This window comes from Homo sapiens, chromosome 20 (assembly GCF_000001405.40).
Source record: "Homo sapiens chromosome 20, GRCh38.p14 Primary Assembly".
Classification (NCBI taxonomy): domain Eukaryota; kingdom Metazoa; phylum Chordata; class Mammalia; order Primates; family Hominidae; genus Homo; species Homo sapiens.
This window is the reverse complement of record NC_000020.11, coordinates 49,013,550-49,037,096: the sequence shown is the minus strand read 5'-3', so window position 1 is coordinate 49,037,096 and position 23,547 is coordinate 49,013,550. Positions and strand designations below refer to the sequence as shown.

Here is a 23,547-nt window from a genome sequence, read left to right as displayed (position 1 = left end):
TTAGCCAGGCAAGGTGTCTCACTACTGGCCCTATAGTTCCGGCTAATCAGGAAGCTGAGGTGGGAGAATTACTTGAACCAAGAAGGTTAAGGCTGCAGTGAGCTGTGATTGCACCACTGCTCTCAGCCTGGGCTACAGGGCAAGACCCTGTCTCAAAAATAAATAAATAAATTAGCATCTGAATATTTCAAAGCTGTCAATGTGTACTGGCTGAACCAATAGCCACTACTTGATCCTTACAATTACATTTTGTAACTAGCAACAACAAAGTTAATAGATTCAAGAGGCATATAAAGAATCTCATGACTAGAATTTTCCCCCTTTCATTGGTGAGGGACATAAACTGACCCAAAACTACGGCTTGATATATGTTTTTTAAATTACTACACATTAGAAACAGCTATACTTTTTAAAATTTTATTGATGTACCACCTGATCAAAGCATGGGATATTTTAATAGTATTATACATAATATTTTTACATAGAAAACTTTACATAGCATTTCATATTATATAATTCTGCTTATTCTTTCAAAAATTTATACATCCATTGGGCAAGGAATGGTTTTCATTAAATTACCAATATTAAATGCACTTAATCATTGTGTATAGGTTAAACCAAAGTAACTATTAACTAACTTTTAGGCATTTTAAGGAGGTAAAACATACATTTTACACATAAATATTTGATGCAAATATGCAGATAAAATTTTTTAAAAATTAGAACACTGAGTAAAACACCTTTGATAGATTATATTGTTTTGTTTTGAGAGCAAGGATTTCCAGATATGTTCATTCTTTAAAACACTCAGCTTTGGTTTCTTTGTTTCCCAAACTGCAAAGCTGCTGATAACAAAACTCCAGGATTCCATGTGAGTTCAGCTATGTCTACTTTAACACAAATATTAAAACAGAATTCAGAAAATGCAGTATTAAGGATCCAGCTTCTATTGAAACCAATATCCATTTGCATCATAACAACAAACATTTGAATGAGATGGTCACACTTGTACTTATCAGCAGGTTCCTTTAATAACAAAGACTACTAAATGTATATCCTTAATCACAAAAGAACAACAAAAAAAATACAGGTTTTTTTTTTTTCATTTCGTACAAAAGTCACCTGCCAGAGGAAAATGTTGTGTTTCCAGATATTATAATACAATTTTCATAATGTATGTTCTTTGGTTGTACATGAGGAGTACAGGGAAAAGATATATTTGACTCTAAAGATGCGTATCAGAAATAAAAATTACCCATCCACTGTTTGTTGTTAAGATGCCAAAGCTGGTGATTTCCCTAACAGACAATGAAGAGAAACAAAATTGCTCAAAGCAGCAGTATTGTAACAAATAAAAACTTCTCTAGAGACCCAGCACATATAATCAACACTTAAAGCATTCTGAAAAAGAAATAAGGCCTTGGAAAATGTTTCACTCTCCTCCATTACTTGGTTAAATAAATGGTGTCCTGGCCTGATGTTGCGGTTGTACATACCCTTTCACTAGTGTTTGAGTGGCACAAGCCACATTTACCATGAGAAAGAAGAGATTTATTCATAAAAATGAATTTAGGCTGAATGGCTTATTATTGGAGGTAAGGGATTTCAAATCTCTGTTCGTCACTGTCCACTGACAAGAAAAATCACCCTGAATGGTTTTACATCCAATTTTTTAAAAGTCCATTGCTGGTACAATTCAAATGCCTCATTCAGAAAATTAAATCTTTTAAAATACTAAACTAATAAGAAATGTAAGCCTGAATGTTTCAGCAAGTAATAAAATGCACTGACACATCTGCTACCCCTCAAGAGGCAAAATTAAAGAGAGGGCAGAAGACACCAGAAAAATTTTAGTCACATCCGATGAAGAAAATGACATGAGAACCTCAGAAGGAAAGGAAAAATAACCAATCAGGGATATAGCTGCACGCAAGATGGACTTAATGAATGAACACGTGTTCCCCATGTATACCTTTTGTACAAATATCAATGGAGACGACTGACTTGTTGAGGTGATGACGCGCTATGATACCAGGGAGTGTAGGTTTCATGGTGCAGTGTAAAGGTGCAGTGGATTCCAGGGCAAACCAGTCAAATGTGCTAACATTTTCCACTCACAGTAAAGTATTCTCCCATAGTCCCTTCCTGCTAAATTATACAGCTCCTTTTATCTAATGTATATAAGTCATGTAAAAACCTAAACCTGCTCATTTTTTCTTTGGTAGAGAAATTAAAAAACACTTTTTGGGAAAGAAAAAAGTAGACAAGAATTCTGCTGGCCAAAACCAAACATTTCTCAAGGCTGTTAAAACAAGAAAACAACTTAAGAATATCGGTCTCTTAGTAAGCAAAAGCACCAGAAATCCTTCTCTACAAAGAAAAAACATCTGATTTTACAGATAGGTTCCCAAACTACTAACTTCTAAGGCACCAGAGTTGACATCAATACAACCCAATTTACAGGACTAAAGAGCATAGGTAGAAGTCTGAAAGTTTTAATCATTCTGTGTAACACTTTGTCTAACGCTCAGCGATGCTCTAGGTGAGCAGTGGGTGAGGGCAGAGAATGAGGCGTGTGTGCTCCTTCTCATGGGTGAGCATCCACGTATACTGCTCACAGGCTTTGGGACGTACTTGTGTACTGCCCACTTTTACACAAGCTGCAGCAGAACTCAGTTCTACTGCAGGTGAGAGTATTGCACCATCATTAACATAATAAGGACCTCAGAATCCAACCTTGCCAAAGAATTCAACTCCTAGGCTCAGATTAATGGAAGTGCTGGGCACATGCCACCTCCTGCCATTGTCACAGTTCAGCTGTGCTGGCCCCGACACAGCTCCAGTTCCACCCATGACATCTGGCTGAGGAGGCTTATGGGAGCGGCTTCTCATGCACAGTTACTGTCCCTCTCTGGAGGGTCCTTTAATGGGGACTGTGCAAAGCAGTGACACTAACTGCCAGTACACTCACTTTTCTGAGGTGAAAATAAAAAGGTTTATTCAAGGATAAATGAACTCTGGTTAAATTACTACTTCATTTTCATTACTACTTCATATATTAGATTTCAGAGTGTGTGAGATGGACAGTGTATTCTGGAAATTTTAATTTAACACCCATCCACAAATACTTATTTCAAGGAAGGCTAATCATCTTCATTAAATTGTTCACTTTTTCGTGTAGACTTTTTCTCTCCATGTTACTAAAACAGGGAGATCCACGAGGCACATTTTTTTAACCTCGCAAAACTCTTAATTCTAACTTAATTACTAAACTCTGCCTTCAACCAAATTTTCAATATCTTTTTGTAAAATACTTTAAAAATCACTCAGACATTAACAAAACACAAAAACAACTCTTCTCTAATCCTGACCTGTCCTTAAACTAATCTAATTACGGCTGACTCGTAACTGACAAAAACATTCAAATTTCTCTAACACACTCAAACAACAGAAAACCCAGCATATTTTAGGTGGCAGTTAGCCGTTACAAGAAGTTTTATTAACATATTCTCTAATAATCACAAACCTATACAGCTATGTTCAGTATTTTCAAGGAGAGTGACTTCTTACAAAACGTTTATAGCCAATCATGGGATTTTGCTAGAAAACGATGGCATATGCAATGACAGATTTGACAGTTTAATCAGAAAAATGGAATGATAGAAATGAAGCAGACTCCCCACCTACTGTGCTAACTGGGTATGCAACAGTTTAATGAAATACCATAAGCCTTAGTTGGAGACTGTGATGGAACAGCGTAGAGGCCATCCGTTTCCAGGCCATTCTGAGATCCAAGATGCCAACTCCTTGTTTCTATGAAACTTCACGAGATGTGCCAGTCAGAAATGGCATGCTGAACATTCTGCAGAGCTGCAGCACTGGCCTGGGCAGCCAGGGCTACCACACTGGTGACAGTGCTGCTGGTACCTGTGATGGCTCTTCTGGTATCCATATCTTATACACAACACCTATCCGTAGGAAGAACTTCCGCAGAACTGCTCGGAGCTCAGGGATCAGGTCAAACTGCATAATTTCACACAAGTAGGGGTAGTACATTGAAGCATGTGCTTTGAACTTGAGGTGGGAGAGAAACAGATAAAATTAGACAATTTTTTTTTTTTTTGGGCACCAGTTTTTCAGAAGTGTTAATCTCACCCTGGAACTTATTACAATATTGGTGCTTTTCTTGCTATTAGAAAGTTGGGGCCGAGCGCAGTGATTCACGCCTATAATCCCAGCACTTGGGGAGGCCGAGGCAGGTGGATCGCTTGAGCTCAGGAGATCGAGACCAGCCTAGGCAACACGGTGAAACCCTGTCTCTACCAAAAATACAAAAACTTAGCTGGGCATAGTGGCGCGTGTCTGTGGTCCCAGCTACTCAGGAGGCTGAGGTGGGAGGATCGCTTGAGCCTGGGAGGCAGAAATTGCAGTGAGCTAGATTACGTCACTGCATTCCAGCCTGTGTGACAGACCAAGACTCTGTCTCAAAAAAAAAAAAAGAAGTTGAAGAAACCTTGCAAATTAAAGCTTCTTTCAGTTATATTTAACTTTAATTAAATTTGGATAGTCTTGCTGCCAAAAGTCAACAGCTCTTTTATTTTGTAAAGCAGGTTCCTAGGTCAAAACTGGTGCTTCACAATCTTAACCCTCTCTTCCTGCACTGAAACTCACCATACCATTCCTAACAGCAACACATGAGGTCTACACTTCAGCCGTTCTCAACTACTGTTCTTCCAGGCAAAAAGCCCTAATATCCTGTGGCACCCATTGTCCATAACGGATTAACTTCTCTCCAATGCATCTAGAATGGTGCTAGTCACGTAACCATCCTTGGGAGAACTGAGAAAATAGTTACTGCAAACTCTTGAGTAAAAAGCCAACCCAAACTTTATGTCCTAGTGAAAATTGGTCAGAGTTTACTTGTTCATACCTTTTCATCATTTATTTTGAGGGTTTTAGTTAGAAGTAACAACAAGAGACTTGTCCAGGCCTCCCGATGGCTCTCAGAATTCACAGTGATGAAATAGGCAAGAGCTTCACTGCAAACACTAGAAGAATTAGAGAGGGGGAGGCATATCAAACAATTGATTAACATCTCACATTCAGGGGAGAACTATTCATTCTTGTGCTATTTTTAAAATTATTTTAACATGTTTTTTTTAATTACTTTTTTTTTTTTGAGACAGGGTCTTGCTCTGCGGCCCAGGCTGGAGTGCAGTGGTGTGATCAAGGTTCACTGTAGCCTTGACCTCCTCGGGCTCAAGCTGATCCTCCCACCTCTGCCTCTGAAGCAGCTAACACTACATGCTTGCGCCACCATGCCTGGCTAATTTTTTTGATTTTTAGTAGAGATGGGGTTTCACCACGTTGCCCAGGCTGGTCTTGAACTCCTGGGCTCAGCAATCTGTCTGCCTTGGCTTCCCAAAGTGCTGGGATTATAGATGTGAGCCTGAGCCTCTGAGCCCAGCCACTGCAATAACTATTGAGCACCCACTCTGGCTGTGCTATCTTGGGCAAATCACTGAGCCTTAGTTTCTTCAGCTATAAAATGGAGATAAAAAATTGCCTGGCCAGGTGCAGTGACTCATGCCTATAATCCCAGCACTCTGGGAGGCCAACGCAAGCAGATCACTTGAAGCCAGGAGTTCGAGACAGCCCGGCCAATGTAGCAAACCCCCATTTCTACTAAAAATAGAAAAATTAGCTGGGTGTGGTGGTGCGTATCTGTAATTCCAGCTACTCAGGTGGCTGAGGCACAAGAATCACTTGAACTCAGGAGGTGGAGGTTGCAGTAAACTGAGATTGCACCACTGCACTCCAGCCTGGGCGATAGAGTGAGACTATCTCAAAAAAAAAAAAAAAAAAAAAAAAAAAAAGTCCAAACTCAAGGGGTTGTTGTGAGGATTAAATGAAGTAAATATGTTAAGTCATAACTTGGCTCAGTCCTGGCACATGGCTAGGGCTGAACTCAATCAATGTCTGTAGCACAAGAGCTTATTACTCATAATTATATAACTGCCTTTCTCTCCTCACAATCACATTTAATTGCTTTTTTAAAAAACATGCCAAAAACTTGACATTTACATATCTCTTTTTTTTATTTTGAGACGGAGTCTTGCTCTTGTTGCCCAGGCTGGAGTGCAACAGCACAATCTTGGCTCACTGCAACCTCTGCCTCCTGGGTTCAAGTGATTCTCCTGCCTCAGCCTCCCGAGTAGCTGGGATTACAGGCGCCTGCCACCATGCCTGGTTAATTTTTGTATTTTTAGTAGAGACAGGGCCATGTTGGCCAGGCTGGTCTCAAACTCCTGACCTTGTGATCCACCTGGCTCGGCCTCCCAAAGTGCTGGGATTACAGATGTGACCCACCGCGCCCGGCCCTACATATCTCCTTTAGAGAAACTTTATGAGACTGTAGGTATTTGTCTTTTGGGCTTAAGCTGAAATGAGCCATTGGTGCCTCCTTTAATTAATTAATTCTTTTTTCACTTTATGACTTGTTATTCTCATTGTAAGGTAACTGATATATGTAAAAAATTATGAAAAAAATTATAAAGAAAAATAGCTACATCATTCTAAGGGATACATGACAATATTTTGGCATATTTCCTTCCAGTTTTTTTTTTTTTTGCTAAGATTTCAAAAGAAAAATTGCTCGCCTGTAGTCCCAGCTACTCAGGAGGCTGAGGCAGGAAGAGCTCGTAAGCCCAGGAGTTCGAGACCAGCCTAGGCAACATAGCAAGACCCTGACTCTAAAAAAACAAATAAAATGCCCCAATTGCTGAAAATTCCAAGTAAAAACACTTTTGCAGCTTTTTTTGGGGTAAAAATTATTGTATTATGAAAAAGTTCCCACATTAAGTAAAATTATTTCTTAAAAATTTCACTTTTAGGCCGGGCGCAGTGGCTCACGCCCATCCCTGCACTTTGGGAGGCCGAGGTGGGGGGATCACGAGGTCAGGAGTTCAAGACCATCCTGGCCAATATCGTGAAACTTTGTCTCTACTAAAAACACAAAAATTAGCCAGGTGTGTGATGGCACACGCCTGTAGTCCCAGCTACTCGGGAGGCTGATGCAGAAGAATCACTTGAACCCGGGAGGCAGAGGTGGCAGTGAGCCAAGATCACGCCACTGCACTCCAGCCTGAGTGACAGAGCAAGACTCTGTCTCAAAAAAAAAAAAAAAAAAAAAAATTCACTTTTAGGCTGGGCACGGTGGCTCATGCCTGTAATCCCAGCACTTTGGGAGGCGGAGGTCGGCAGATCACCTGAGGTCAGGAGTTTGAGACTAGCCTGACCAACATGGTGAAACCCCATCTCCACTAAAAATACAAAAAACCAGCCAGGTATGGTGGCACGCGCCTGTAATCCTGGCTACTCAGGAGGCCGAGGCAGGAGAATTGGTTGAACCCAGGAAGTGGACCTTGCAGTGAGCTGAGATTGCACCACTGCACTCCAGCCTGGGCGACAGAGCAAGACTCCGTCTCAAAAAAAAAAAAAATTCACTTTTAATGACTATGTTTCATAATATCATAATTTAGGACATATTACAGCTTAGTTATTCATTCCACAGTTGAGCTGCTTAAAATTTTTTCTCCTGATAAGTCTGCAGTGAATATTCCATGTGGTATTCCTGGTTCCTATTTCTAAAATATTTTCTGAAGCAGATTCCATAACAGTGGAATTACTGAGTCACAGAGAATGAACACTTTAGGGCTCCTGGTATATAGTCTCACCTACTTTCCAGAAAGATCATGCCATTATACACTCCAACTAGCTACGCAGGAGAGTGCATTCTTACCACACATTTGCCAGCACTGTGTGTTACTGTTTTTATACCTTAGAGGAAGAAAAGAAAGCTCAGGCATCAGAATCTTGCTGATGCCCAGGAAGCTGAGTGACAAAGACCTACTTTTCTGGCTGGGGCTTCCTCATCAGTATTCCACTCTCTCCCCATTGGTGGATTTCTAGATAATTTTGTAGGCACATCCTGGTTATATGATTTCAATTACACTCTTCTTGGAAAGAAGGAATGATGGGATGTTATTGCTGACAACAATTCTAAAGAGGACCTGGTCCCAAGAGGGATAGTAACCTGCCTAAGGCCACAGGGCTCTAGCCACAGTCAGGACTTCCATCCAGCCTGCTGACCGCTCGGAGCACTTTTCACTGTCCATGTTTCTATGCATAGCTCACAGCACCCTTCCACTCCTGGGCTCAAGCAAGGGCTTAACAGTGAAACAGATGAGGCTCTGCCCTCTTCAGGGCATTAAGAAAAGTGAAATGGGAGAGTCACCAAATAGAAAGAAAAAAAAATTTGTCAGAGTGTCAGCATGTATTTTTCTCTTACTCTTTTCAATCCACAGTATTGCTGTGATGCATTTTGTATATAGCAGATAGAAATCTAATCAGAAACTAATTTTCTTACGTTAAAAGTCTCTGCTGTATTTCTTCCCAGGAATCCCTGCGGTTCTCATCAACATACATTCGAAACAGGATCCTCAAACAACAGGCCAGGCTGCTGGTTTCTTGTTTTAGAAGATTGGGTTTAGACTTGCCCTTAAAACCTAGAGATCAGACAGTCATATAATTAGTGCACATTTCTAAGATAATGCTGATAACTGTGTATGACTAGAAATCTAGTTATTTTATGAAATATGAAACATCTGTTTTTTTCTTGAGATAGTCTTGCTCTGTCACCTAAGCTGGAGTGCAGTGGCATGATCATAGCTCACTGCAGCCTCCAATTTCTGGGCTCAATGATCCTCCTGCCTCAGCCTCCTGAGTAGCCAGGAACATAGATGTGTGCCACCATGCCTGGCTAATTTTTTTTTGTTTTTGAGACAGTTTCACTCTTGTTGCCCAGGCTGGAGTGCAATGGCATTATCTCGGCTCACTGCAACCTCCGCCTCCCAGGTTCAAGCGATTCTCCTGCCTCAGCCTCCCTAGTAGCTGGGATTACAGGTGCCCACCACCATGCCGGGCTAATTTTTGTATTTTTAGTAGAGACAGGGTTTCTCCATGTTGGTCAGGCTGGTCTCGAACTCCTGACCTCAAGTGATCTGCCTGCCTCGGCCTCCCAAAGTTCTGGGATTACGGGAGCCACCGCACCCAGCTAATTTTTTAGTGTTTGTACAGAGAGGGTTTTACTATGTGGCCCTGGCCGGTTTCAAATTCCTGGGCTCAAGCAATCCTCCTGTCTTAGCTTTCCAAAGGAATGGGATTACAGACATGAGCCACTGAGCCTGGCCTGAAACATTTTATATATATTCTTAATACAGATCGTTTGTGATACCAGATGAAGGCAGTTACGACTCCCCAGAAGTCATCCTCTGTATTACAAGATAACTTCATTTTTCAATGCCCTGTACTGTTCTTCATTTATTTATTGGTATTTTATTTTGAGACAGTCTTGCTCTGTCACCCAGGCTGGAGTGCAGTGACACAATCTTGACTAACTGCAACCTCGACCTCCCAGGCTCAAGTTACCCTCCTGCCTCAGCCTCCTGCGTAGCTGGGACTACAAGCGCACGCCACCACGCCTCACTAATTTTTGTATTTTTTGTAGAGATGGGGTTTTACCATGTTGCCAGGCTGGTCTTGAACCCCTGACTTTAAGTGATCCACCCGCCTCAGCCTCCCAAAGTGCTGGGATTATAGGTGTGAACCACCTTGCCTGGCCTGCTCTCCATTTAGACTTTGCTTATTGGCTGGCGAAACCATTAGTTTTGTCTTTTCAAATGTAACAGCTCTTAAGAATTCTAGGCTGGGCGCAGCGGCTCACGCCTGTAATCCCAGCACTTTGGGAGGCCAAGGCAGGTGGATCATGAGGTCAAGAGAGTGAGACCACTGGCGTGGTGGTGCGTGCCTGTAGTTCCAGCTACTTGGGAGGCTGAGGCAGGAGAATCGCTTGAACCCAGGAGGCTAGAGGTTGCAGTGAGCCAAGATCACGCCACTGCACTCCAGCCTAGCAACAGAGTGAGACTCCATCTCCAAAAAATAAAAAAATAAATAATAAAAAAAAAAGAACACATTCTTAAAAACAAACTAGTACCAATCAGCTTAAGAGATATGCAAACGACTCTCACAAACAAAATCTTATTACAGGCAAAGGCATAAAAGAGCTGGATATTTTAAGGCTGTAGAGAAAAATGACATTCTTTAATTGTGGGTTAAAATAAATATTTGGGGACAAAAAGTAATGATAACAAGGCCAGGTGCAGTGGCTCATGCCTGTAATCCTAGAACTTTGGGAGGCTAAGATGAGTGGATTACTTGAGGTCAGGAGTTCAAGACCAGCTAGGCCAACATGGTGAAACCCTGTTTCTACTAAAAATATAAAAATTAGTCAGGCATGGTGGCATGTGCCTGTAAACCCAACTACTTGGAAGGCTGAGGCATGAGAATTGCTTGAACCCGGGAGGTAGAGACTGCAGTGAGCCGAGACTGCGCCACTGCACTCCAGCCTGGGCAACAGAGTAAGACTCTGCCTCAAAAAAAAAAAAAAAAAAAGTAATGGTAAAAATTAACAATACAAAAATTATATAAAGTATCACTTGTATGCAAAGTTCAAAATAATGAGAATCCCACCACCATCTTGGAAAAAAAATGTATTTACCTCCAGGGTTTTTGTATTTATTTTTGGAGGTAGGAAAGTAAATATAAGGCTTGGAAAATTGATGAATGGTTTCTGTTTTTCCTAGACTACCACACTTTTTATGTCATATTTAACTTTTAATTTAATGTAAAATTTCTTTTTTTTTTCTTGAGACAAGGTCTCCCCCTGTCACCCAGGCTGCAGTGCAGTATGCAATCTTGGCTCACTGCAACCTCCACCTCCTAGGCTCAAGTGATTCTCCCACCTCAGCCTCCTGAGTATGGTGTGTGCTACAATGCCCAGCTAATTTTCATATACTTTTTTTTGGGTGGAGATGGGGTTTTGCTATGTTGCCCAGGCTGGTCTTGAACTCCTGGGCTCAAGCAATCCGCCTGCCTTAGCCTCCCAGAGTGCTGGGATTACAGGCGTGAGCCACCGCACCCAGCCCATAAAATGTTTTGACTTGCTAGATCAATTCAATTCTCCAACTTTCAATTTGTCTTTTTTTTTTTTTTTTCCAGATGGAGTCTTGCTCTGTCACTCAGGCTGGAGTGCAGTGGCGCAATCTCGGCTCACCGCAACCTCCGCCTTCCGGGTACAAGCGATTCTCCTGCCTCGGCCTCCCAAGTAGCTGGGATTATGGGTTTGCACCACCACACCTGGCTAATTTTTATATTTTTAGTAGAGATGGGGTTTCGCCATGTTGGCCAGGCTGGTCTCGAACTCCTGGCCTCAAGTGATCTTGGCTGAGGCCTGCCTCAGCCTCCCAAAGTGTTGGGATTACAGGCATGGACCACCGCATCCGGCCTCAATTTGTCTTTTTATCAAATACGTACTGAGAATCTACCATGTACTGGGATGAAACCTATCCAACATTTCCCTTCTCTCCCCCTCAAGCATGAAAATATCTGTTAAGTTATTCTAGCTATGTTTAAAATTTTGGGCATTTTCCAAGCACTTTAATGTTTTAGGAAGGTGACCAGTGTGGCCATCTATCTTATCTGCTGTGTGGCCTTACCTGCTCGCCACAGGACAGTCCGCTGCTCGTAATTGGAGTTGAAGGCCTTTGAGAATGAATGGGATTCCTGCAAACAGTCCAACAGCTTGAAGAGGTGCTGGGAAGACATGTACTTATACATGCCCTGATCCTCCGTCTCTATGTGGATATCTGCATCCAGCGTGTCTTGCTAGAGGACAGGACAGAGGATAGAAGAGCTAATGAAGAAGATGGAATGCTCTGGGCATTGTGATTGCAGACAACGGCAGTCATGACTCTCCAAAAGTCATCCCTGTCTATAAGACACACTTATTCCCCAACACCCTGAAACATTTCCATTTAGACTCTGCTCACTGGCTGGTGAAGGAACACACTGAGCCGTTCCATGATGGCAGGCTTGGCTGGCCAAAGTTTCAGTTTCATCAGTGCTGCCTCCACTGCATAAGCAGGAGTGTGTGTGTCTCCAATTATTTCATTACAGGAATGAATTATTATTATTATTATTATTTTGAGACAAGAGTTTCTGTCGCCCAGGCTGGAGTGCAGTGGCGCAATCTTGGCTCACTGCAACCTCCGCCTCCCGGGTTCAAGTGATTCTCCTGCCTCAGCCTCCTGACTAGCTGGGATTACAGGTGCTCGCCACCATGCCCAGCTCATTTTTGTATTTTTAGTAAAGACGGGGTTTCACCATGTTGGTCAGAATGATCTCAGACTCGACCTCGTGATCCGCCTGCCTCGGCCTCCCAAAGTGCTGGGATTACAGGCGTGAGCCACTGCACCTAGCCCAGGAATGCATTCTTGAAACATGTATGAAACCCTAGGAAACTTTACTGAACAAGCTGCCTAAAATTTTAAAATCAAAAGGACAGCCTCTGGCTCACAGCTGTATTTTTTCCAGCAGTAATAAAATTTACATTACTTTTGCTAGTATTTAAAACATGACTTCCTCTATGAAAAAAAATCTTGATTTTGGCTACTCTTGAAACACGAGAAACTGTCACAACTTAACCCACTTGGATGGTAATCGGGCGCTAAAGCTGAGAGGTGGCAGCCGCTTTGACTGGGCTAGAGATTTCTGGTTTACCACAATCCTTACCCAGCCTGCCTCACTCACTCACTCTCACAGGATCTGCTAGCCCCTGAAGCACTGACATTTGTAACCCATGGTGTAGGATAACTGTCCAACTTTTGGACACTGAATTCTCTATGTTTTCAAGAATCTGATATGTAGGCCAGGCATGGTGGTGCACGCCTGCAATCCCAACACTTTGGGAGGCTGAGGTGGGCAGATTGCTTGAGTCCAAGAGTTTGAGACCAGGCTGGGCAACATGGCAAAACCCCATCTCTACAAAAAATGTAAAAAATTAACTGGGCATGGCGGCATGTGCCTGTAGTCCCAGCTACTTAAGAGGCTGAGATGGGGGAATCACCTGAGCCTGGGAGGTTGAAACCCCAGTTACCTGTGATTCTGTGATTGCACCACTGCACTCCAGCCTGGGTGACAGAGTGAGACTTTGTCTCGCCAAAAAAAGAAAAAAAGGAAAAGAATCCCATATGTAGAAAGTTGCATATAGAAAACAAAAAAAGCGAAATTCTTGAAGGAAAAACTGGGATCTTTATATATATCTTTTCCTCCTCACTTATTTGTGATTAAACTGTATATCAGGCCGGGCGCGGTGGCTCACGCCTGTAATCCCAGCACTTTGGGAGGCCGAGGCGGGCGGATCACGAGGTCAGGAGATCGAGACCATCCTGGCTAACACGGTGAAACCCCGTCTCTACTAAAAATACAAAAAATTAGCCGGGCGTGGTAGCGGGCGCCTGTAGTCCCAGCTACTCGGGAGGCTGAGGCAGGAGAATGGCGTGAACCCAGGAGGCGGAGCTTGCAGTGAGCCGAGATCGCGCCACTGCACTCCAGCCTGGGCGACAGAGCGAGACTCCGTCTCAAAAAAACAAAAAAAAAAACAAAAAAAAAAAAACCAGAAAAAAAACTGTATATCAATTGTGGGGAATAGTTCCTGTGATAACTAACACTAGTGGGGTGGCATTTGAGCAGTGGTATGCTCATAAACTCACTCTCTGGGGTATATACATAAAAAAAATGAAGCCCTGATGTTTAGTGTTTGCTGTTTTTCTCTGATGTAAATAACTCCCATCAAGGCCAATTTTAAGCATCAACATGCCATCACTGAATGTGAGGTTGGAAAGAGATGAGCATGACAGGCTCTGGAAAGCCAGTACAAGCTGGCTTCCGCACACCACTACATCAAAGCAACCTCCCTATGGACAGGGATGCTCTTCCTGAGGCCTCCTGTTCTTACCTGGGCGGCAACCATGTGCTCTGCATCCTCCTTTTTGCTCGTCGCAGGGTAGAACACAATGTTGTCAATGGTCTGTATCAATTCCAACTGGACCACACACTTGATGAGGAGGCTGGCAAACAGTTTCTGATCTATGTTAGATGATAAAGATTAACCCTAATAATGATTCAGCCAATACTGAAGAAATATCCACTGAGCTCCTACTATGTGCAAGGCATGATTTATTTTTTTAAGAGATGGGGTCTCACTACGTTCTCCAGGCTGGTCCTGAACTCCTGGTTTCAAGTGATGCTCCCACTTCAGCCTCCCAAAGTGCTGGGATTACAGCATGAGCCACCACACCCAGTCAAGGCACAATTCTTGATGTTGTGGCACAGCAATGAATAAACTGGACAAAAAAAAATCTCTGCTCCCATGGTGTTGACAGACAATAAATGAAATATTTTAAGAATATTATATATTAAATATTGATGATAGGTAGAGACAGGGATAGAAAGTGTCAGGGTAGGACTGCACGTTTAAGCAAACTAGTTGGGAAAAGTCTCTATAAAAATGTGACATTTGAGCAAAGACCTGAAGAAAGTGAGGGAATCAGCTATGCAGGTTCTGTGTCCTCCAGCAAGTTTCTCTGCCACCCAGTGGGCTACTCCTAAAGACCACCACTGGACTGTGCCCTAACCAGAGGACGTTTCAGGTTCCTGCAGTAGCCAGCCCCTCTGAAGAGGCCAGAAGCTTGTGGGTTTTTTTTTTTTGTTGTTGTTGTTGTTGTTTTTTAAATAGAGATGGGATTTCCTCATGTTGCCCAGGCTGGTCTTGAACTCCTGTGCCACAATATCAAGCGATCTGCCTGCCTCGGCCTCCCAAAGTGCTAGGATTACAGGTGTGAGCCATTGCTTGCCTGGCCAAGAAGCTCAGTTTTGTTGCTTTCTGCATTTTCTACTTCTGTATCCCTTAAGAGTGGTCTTTTATTCCTCTTAGTGGTTAACAACCTTTGACTAGTTAACATTTTTTTTTTTTTTTTTTTTTTGAGACGGAGTCTCGCTTTGTCACCCTGGCTGGAGTGCAGTGGCATGATCTCAGCTCACTGCAACCTCTGCCTCCCGGGTTCAAGTGATTCTCCCGCCTCAGCCTCCCAAGTAGCTGGTAGCTGGGATTACAGGTGTGCGCCACTGTGTCAGCTAGTTTTTTGTAATTTTAGGAGAGATGGGGTTTCGCCATCTTAGCCAGGCTGGTCTCAAACTCCTGACCTCAGGTGATCTGCCCGCCTCAGCCCAAAGTGCTGGGATTACAGGCATGAGCCACTGTGCCTCGCCAACAATTCTTTTTTTTTTTTTTTTGAGACAGAGTCTCGCTGTGTCACCCAGGCTGAAGTGCAGTGGCGTGATCTTTGCTTACTGCAACCTCCGCCTTCAGGTTCAAGCAATTCTCCTGCCTCCTCCCAAGTAGCTGGGACTACAGGCACCCGGCACCATGCCCGGCTAATTTTTTTTGTAGTTTTAATAGAGATGGGGTTTCACTATGTTGGCCAGGCTGGTCTTGAACTCCTGACCTCATGATCTGCCCGCCTCAGCCTCCCAAAGTGTTAGGATTACAGGTGTGAGCCACCGCGCCCGGCCCCAACAATTCTTAATATTGAATTTTCCCTGTTCAAATTAGCGGTGTGGTTTCTGCTTACTGAGTAGACTAACTATATCCTCTTTGTGTTCTCAATCCCTGAGGGCCCAAGGGTGGCCCATGTCAAATACATCATAAGTGTTCACTGGTTTGTCTACAGTAACAGTAGAGATTCCTTTCCCAACTTATTTTATAAAATCAGAATGTTGAAAACATTAAATATTTCAGTGATAGAAAACAAGGAGGTTGAGTTGTCTTTAAGTTTTTGAAAGTGGCTGTGAAATTATTTTTTCATTTTTTTCATTAAAAAAAAAATTTTTTTTTTCTTCTTAGAGATGGGGTCTCACCATGTTGCCCAGGCTGGTCTCAAATTCCTGGGCTCAAGCTATCCATTGGTCCTGGTCTCCCAAAGTGCTGGGATTACAGGTGTGAGCCACTGCACCTCGCCAGTTATGAAATTATAAAAACACGTAACAATTCTCCATGTAGATTGTTTTAAATTTTTTTTTTTAATACAGTGGAGTTCCAGAAGATGTACATTCAACTTATGCCAAGTCAATTAAAACATTTTGGGCCAAAAATAAAAAGGAAACGATAATAATAGTGCAAAGATTTTTGTCTGCCTGAGCTTATGGCTGAGCTGGGAGACTGGGAGCAGCAAAGGCACTGTTCCCTGGGGGAATGGGAGGTGGATTGAGTCCTAGGTACTTCTCAGAGTGTAGACTCTCACTGCACGGAGAGTGCTTCTCCTATTGAAAGAAATGTATACTTGGCCTCCACACAGAAACTAACTACTTTATCTGGAGCTCGTGAAGAAAAAGAGCCTGGGCATGGTGGCTCACGCATGTAATCCCAACACTTTGGGAGGCCAAGGCAGGAGGATGGCTTGAGTCCAAGAATTCAAGACCAGCCTGGGCAACAAAGTGAGACCCCATCTCTACAAAAAATAAAATAATTAGCCGAATGTGGTGGCACATGCCTATAGTCCCAGCTACTCAGGAGCCTGAGGCAGGAGGATTGCTTGAGCCCAGGAGTTCAAGGCTGCAATGAGCTATGATTGCACTAGTGTACTCCAGCTTGGGAGACAGAGTATGTCCCTGTCTCTAAAAAAAGAGAAAATGAAAAAGGTATCATTCTATCACTGGGCATTGGAGAGAAGCTGGCTGCAGCAGTTAGTGAAAGACAGCATGCCAGTCCCAACACGATACCTCTTTAATGAATTTCAAGGGTGACTACTTTTATTCCTTCTAAAGAAAAAGGTGACCGCACACTGTTTTGGTCAAATGTGCTGCTTCAGAAGTTAACTTCAATGTTAACAGCTATGGCCTAGCATGTTGAGGACAGGGTGGGACTGCTATAAAGGCAAACAATGGGGCACACAACTTTCAAAGGACCAGAACAACCTTCACAAGTTCCCATTCCTCAGGCTGCCAAAAATGTGTCTGAATCCCCACTCTACTACATGTTGTCAAGTTCTATGATCTGTCTAAGCCCCAGTTCCCTCAAACGTAAGACAGTACCTCTTCAAAGGCTACTATGAGGATTACATGAAACAATACACATGGAACACACAGTACAGTGCCTGGTACATGACAGCTGTTAAACTTATTTTTTTAAATGACAGTAAAACACATCATAAGCAACATTAAGAGACAATTTGGCAAAAATAATTTGAAACTCATATCAGAAAAAGGATTTCTAGTACATAAGAGCTCCTCCAAACCAATAAAAAAGGGGCCAACAATCAACAGAAAATGAGCAAAGATTACAGAGTTCATAGAGAAGAAAACAGAAGTGGTGCTTTAACATACGAAAAACTATTCAATTTGACTCATAATTTGAAAATTCCAAGTTAAATTAGTCCAAAGTTGTATTTCATCTAAAAAGATCACGTAAACAGCTACAAATGTAATAGATAGCAATGTGGAAATATTTAAAAATGGCAAATTCACTTATCCACTGACTCCAGTACATTTTTAGGAATTTATTACATAAATTCACAAATGACATATGTATTGGGTTATTCAATGCAGTATTGCTCCTAACAGCAAAAGATTATAAGTAATATAAATGTCTGTTAAGAGCAACTCAATTAAGCAATAAATGCATGTCTACAAACTGGAATAATAGACAATCGTATAAAACAACGTGAAAGCTCCTTATGTACTGATTTTGAATGATCTCTAAAATATATTAACTGAAAAAAGAATAAGGCATACTATTCCATAACTGGTAAAAGGAGAAAATTCATATGTACTATATATGTATGTGTGTGAATGTATATGTCAATGTATATGGAATGTACTATTCCATAACTGGTAAAAGGAGAAAATTCGTATGTACTATATATGTATGTATATGAATGTATATGTGCATGTACTTGCCTGCACATGGATAAAATGACTCTGGAAAGGTACAGAGAAACAGGTAACCTTGGCTGCTACAGAGAACTGGCAGACTGAGGCACAGGGCAGAAGAAGGCTTATCATGTTTACCCTTTTGTGCCTTCTGAATATATGAATCACATAAACATGTTACTTATTTAAAACAAATTAAAAAGTGGCCTTACTTGCGTATGGTCTACCCTTCCAGCTGTCATCTGTTGGGTTAGAGAGCTGGCTCTGTCCCCTCTCAGAGGGATTTTTATCTATGCTGCTTAAAGACTGGCGGTCCAGATCCACATCCTAAATGTAAACCAGAGGGAAACACAATGCTCACTTTTCTTCATGATAATTTGGGCAGAGATGTGCCTGTTTTAACACGGCTGGTCCAGCCTGTATTTAAGTGCCTTGCTTAGCTCAAAATAAAATGATACTACATGCTTAATGTAGCATGCCTCACAGGCTGCAATGGAGAGATTAAGAATTTAAATTACTTCTCCTCCCATTAAAATTCCCTATTTTCCTATTCCAACCCAGAGGACATTTCTCTACATATTAGGATTTAACAATAAGTGTGACAAATTTTTTATGCGAGCAAGTTCAAAGATAAATTACTAGTGCAGTAACTAGTTTTTTAAAAAGTTGACAACAGGCCAGGCACAGTGGCTCATGCCTGTAATCCCAGCACTTTGGGAGGCCAAGGAAGGCGGATCACCTGAGGTCAGGAGTTCAAGACCAGCCTGGTCAACATGGCGAAACCCCATCTCTGCTAAAAATACAAAAATTAGCTGGACATGGTGGCGGGCACCTGTAATCCCAGCTACTTGGCGGGAGGCTGAGGCATGAGAATCGCTTGAACCCAGGAGGTGGAGGTTGCAGTGAGCCGAGATCGCACTGCTGCACTCCAGCCTGGGGACAGAGCGAGACTCTGTCTCGAGAAAAATAAAATAAAATAAAAAATAAAAAAATTTAACAGCAGAAGACAGTTGCTGTATCCCAAATGCTTTTTAAAATCTAATGGTCTTAGAGTCACTTAGGAATAAAAGTTAATTCAACTCCTCTCTGTAAACCAAAGTATTTAAAAGTGAGATCTGAATTAAAACTTCTTTATGTGGACTCACACAAAAAGTAAGAACTACCACTTCTTTGGTGAAGAGGAAAGCACTATTAATTTAGGAGGGCAACAAACAAGCACAGTTACGCCAAAGCACTATTTACAATGTTGAAAGCCTAGAACTAACCTGAGAGTCCGATAAGGGAGAAGTAAAGAAATTATAATACTATGCAGCCACTGAAAAGACTGCTCTCAAAGAACCGTTTAAAATATGGAAAAATGCTCAGATGTTGTTATATGCTAACTGATCCCTCATTTCAAATATGGCTGGTTTTCCTAGGCATGCACGGTCACACAAAGCGGCAGCTAGAAATGTAAACTGTGCTTTTTACTTGGTGAGGTTACTTATTTGCTTAATGCTTTTCTGGACTTTCTAAAAAATATATTATGAATATATACTATTTTTAGATCTTATAATTTTACTCACTTCCCATTAAAAAAAGTACAAACTATACAGGCTTATTGATCTTTTACTAAGATAGAAAAAAGAAAAGACAACCAAAGAAAAACCCCAAATCCTACCAAATGCTTTTCTGATGAATCTTCCTCCATTCCTACAGGTCTCCATGTCAGCAAACTGAAGAAAAAAATAGAGAAAAAAAATAATCAATGTGAAAGGCAATCAGGAGCTTTAAGACATCCACTGAACACAGAGATAAACGGGAACAACTGCATGAACACTTACACATGTGGGATGGTTGTTTTGAAAATATCCAACATACAGTTGCAGGTTTCATCCCAGACTTCAGGACTGAATTTCTCTCCATTGGATATTACTAAGTTTTCTAAGCAATTTGTACCTGATCGCGCCAACTGTTCATTATCTGTAAAATAAAGCAGTATCTATCATTAAACTTCTACTGCTATTTTGATGCCAACCAGGTCTCAAATACTGTATATTGTGAGTTGGAGACAGCAACTGGTGAGTTTCTAGGCTTTTAATTAATGAAGCCATGCTACAGACAGTATTAAAATTTTTATTAAAATTTTTTTGAAGAGTTAAAATTGTTTATCATAGTTTTATTGCTAAAGAAGAAAGGTCAACATTTTGCTACTTTAAATTAAGTGGCTCATGTATGAAAAATGGTAATAGAAGAGAGAAAACATTAGACCAGGTTTTCAAAAATTTAGTCACTCATACATTACATTTCCAATTTTTGCCACCTGAACAATATCAAATGTTTTGTCATTTATTTTAAAATTAAGTCACTTTTTCAAAAATGTAACTAAATTTCTTGCCCTAAGCCAAAATTATCTATGGAATCCAGTTCTAATGTGCTAGCTGGGTATTTTTCCTGACAAACTCTAAAATAATTGTCTGTTGATGAAGCTGTTGATCTTGACTGAAACAATACATTTTAAAAACATTTTACTAGAGAAAATTTCAAACATATACAAAAGTAAAAAGAACAGTATAATACATGAAGGTACATCTTGTAGAATACAAAAATAACTATATCCCATCTTTAAGAAATGCTTTATGAACTGACTTGGGGGGGGCACTGTTTTTTATACTGTAATTAAAACGTATACATTTCACCAACTAAATTATATATTGTACTCCATGGCACTACATCCATGCTTTTAAATATTGAAAAAACTAACCTCTCATTAAAGACTATGTAAGAAAAATGATGCCTAGAGGCTTAAAGAGTACCTTGTTTGACACACCACTGCAATTGTGCAAATACATCAGAAAGAAGAACTTCATTCAAAGCTTCATAAAACTGGGTAAAAACATCACAAATAGCATAAAGTGCGTGATTGCAGGTTGTTGTCATCCACTCAGATTTCTGGGAAAACAAAAAGATGACACTTAAAAGCTATTCTCCCTGCAGTGAGATGGGCATTCTTGTACACTCCTGGCAAAACTGTTGTAGAAAGCAATTTGGTGATATGTATCAAGAATACGTCTTAAAAATGTTAATACATTCATATGTACAGAGGATATACAGAGGGATCTTTATAAAATTATGGTAATGATGCCAAAAGTGGAAGCCAGAAGTGGAATAAAAAAATAAATAAAAAACGCATAGATTTGGTTACTTAAAAGCTAAATTTTCCAAAATGAAAAGGAAATAATAAAGTGGGCAAATCATCTGCAACTCATGTATGCATATGCTACATTATTTATATATTTAAAAATGCATAAATCAATAGGAGAAAGATGAATAATCCAGTAGATGAGCTAAGAGTAATTCATAAAAGAATTCATAAAAGGCAATTCTTAAGAATGATCAATCCTATGAGAGAAAATATGCCACCTCACTAGCAGTTTGAAACACTTTTTCAATGTGATACAGTTGGCTTATCAAATTAGCAATGACTAAAACAAATTAAAATGAGAAGACCTGGAATGAATATGGAGAAATAGGAACTCTCATGCATTGCTGACAGAAGTGTAAATGGCTACAGAGATATCTGCAGGTCAGCTTAGTGGTACGTATCAAAAGGCTTAGTAATACGCAGGCCCCAAACCTGGCAGTTGGGCCACTTGTCTTTAAAGAAGAAAACACCACCACTAGAAGTGTAGCTGCAAAAAATGTTCATTTCAGTGCTGTCCAGAAAAACCGGAAAGCAACCTAAATGTTCATAAGCTGTGGAACATCCACAACTAAGACTATTTTGTAGCCATTATTAAAACAACATTGTAGAAGAAAGGCTGGGTGTGGTGGCTCACACCTGTAATCCCTGCACTTTGGAGGCTGAGGCGGGTGGATCACTTGAGGTCAGGAGTTTGAGACCAGCCTGGCCAACATGGTGAGATCTTGTCTCTATTTAAATTACAAAAATTACCTGGACATGGTGGCATTAGCCTGCAGTCCCAGCTACTTGGGAGGCTGAGGCAGGAGAATTGCTTAACCCAGGAGACAGAGGTTGCTGTGAGCCGAGATCACACCACTGCACTCCAGCCTGGGCAACAGAGCAAGACTCTGTCTCAAAAAAACGAAACAAAGCAAAGGAACAAACAAACAAAACATTCTAGAAGAAAAGTTATGGCTACGAAAAAATACTCATGTATTAAGTTTAAGAAGTAGTTTATATACGTGTGTTGGAATTCTATTTTCATAGAAGAAAAAAGTGGATCACAAATGCATGTGTGGGTGGACACACAGATGAAAGCAACACTTGAAGGTCTTAACGGTGGCTGCCTATGAAAAACCGCAACTGTGAGTGTTTAAATTCTTCTTTGTTTTTGTCTGTGTTCTGTAGTTCTACTTGTTTTATAATGAGGAAAAACATATTTAAATTTAAAAAGATTAGAAAACTCTATCTATACTATGACCTCAACCATATTTATTTATTTATTTAAGAGATATGGTCTCACTATGTTGCCTAGGCTGGTCCCAAACTCTTGGCCTCAAGTAATCCTCCCACCTCACCTTCCCAAAATGCTGGGATTATAGGCATGAGCCATTGTGCCTGGCCTCCGAATCATATTTAAACCATGTAGAAGATGGAGAAAATTTTGCAAAAACATTAACTCTAATTTTGGATGGTAAAAGGAAGAATTTTTTTGTGTTTGCCTAATATTCCATATTAAGCATATGTCACTTTTATGTTGCGGTGAGAGAAGGAATGGTGTTCCCAAAAGAAATAAAAAGGTTACTTTTCCATCTAAAAATCCTGAGCCTAGAATACCCTTTCACTATCCCTGTACCTCTAAGGGACAAATAAAAATACCTACAGGCATCAAACTTCCTTTTAAAAAAAAGGCTTAATATTCAACATCATCTCCAAATGCAACTTCATTAAAAACCCTTAAGGGGCCAGAGACATTCCACTTTCTGACTGCTCAGAGGTTGATATGAACAAAACAACTACAACGACCAGTCAGGAGCCCTGCTGAACTGGAAGGTGCAATGCCTGAGGGCCAAGCAGCAGACCACAGAGATGTATTTCCTCTCATTCTTCTGAACATGGGGAGAGTCACTCAGGACTAGCTGATACTGGTAGGAGAGTATCAGAAAGGTGTTTCCATTTTTAAAACCTTAAGTTGCTCAGTATTTAAGAACTCTGGGTAGACGATGATGCAGCCCCCAGAGGCAAATACCGGCCAGAAAGGCTTTCCTCTCCATCATACCTAGGGCAGTGCTGTAGTTATCACCTACCTCTGACAGTTGCTCAGGGAGTTTCATATTGTCAAAAATCCGAAACACGATTCTGAACAGGTCCTGCCACCAGTGCTTTTCAAAGGTGTGGCCATAGCTCTTCATGATCTCAAACATGACTGTGAGTCCCCTGGAGGAAACAAAGTCAGGCACAGAAGAGAGAATGGTGGAGAAGAGAACAACAGAGAAGAGAGTGGGGTCAGGTGAGCAAGTGACTGAGGTTCATTTCAGTGATGTAAGGGGCCACCGCACGGGAACATGGTTACCTTGTTCGTACATCTAACTTGCATCTATTAATGATGCAGGAGAGTTCGAATAAGATGGGGAACCAGCCTCGGACCCAGACTCTGTCACCAGGAGCTACATTCATGTCATCACTTGTGTATTCTTGTAGCACCTAGGATGAAAAAT

At 41.2% G+C, this 23,547-nt stretch overlaps 1 protein-coding gene across 3 annotated transcripts in view; it reads right to left on the bottom strand.

Moving 5' to 3' along the window:
• ARFGEF2 (ARF guanine nucleotide exchange factor 2) overlaps nucleotides 404–23,547 on the bottom strand; it is a 114,983-nt gene continuing 91,839 nt past the window's right edge. For all 3 annotated transcript variants that reach the window (NM_006420.3, NM_001410846.1, XM_047439832.1), the window contains 11 exons: nucleotides 23,403–23,533; nucleotides 23,137–23,266; nucleotides 20,682–20,817; nucleotides 19,710–19,848; nucleotides 19,547–19,601; nucleotides 18,099–18,213; nucleotides 13,916–14,046; nucleotides 11,616–11,784; nucleotides 8,429–8,567; nucleotides 4,931–5,048; nucleotides 404–4,074 (listed from right to left, as the gene is read on the bottom strand). In NM_006420.3, coding sequence (NP_006411.2) covers nucleotides 3,898–4,074; nucleotides 4,931–5,048; nucleotides 8,429–8,567; nucleotides 11,616–11,784; nucleotides 13,916–14,046; nucleotides 18,099–18,213; nucleotides 19,547–19,601; nucleotides 19,710–19,848; nucleotides 20,682–20,817; nucleotides 23,137–23,266; nucleotides 23,403–23,533 — 1,440 coding nt within the window. In that variant the 3' untranslated portion in view covers nucleotides 404–3,897. The remainder of the gene's footprint in view (nucleotides 4,075–4,930; nucleotides 5,049–8,428; nucleotides 8,568–11,615; nucleotides 11,785–13,915; nucleotides 14,047–18,098; nucleotides 18,214–19,546; nucleotides 19,602–19,709; nucleotides 19,849–20,681; nucleotides 20,818–23,136; nucleotides 23,267–23,402; nucleotides 23,534–23,547) is intronic.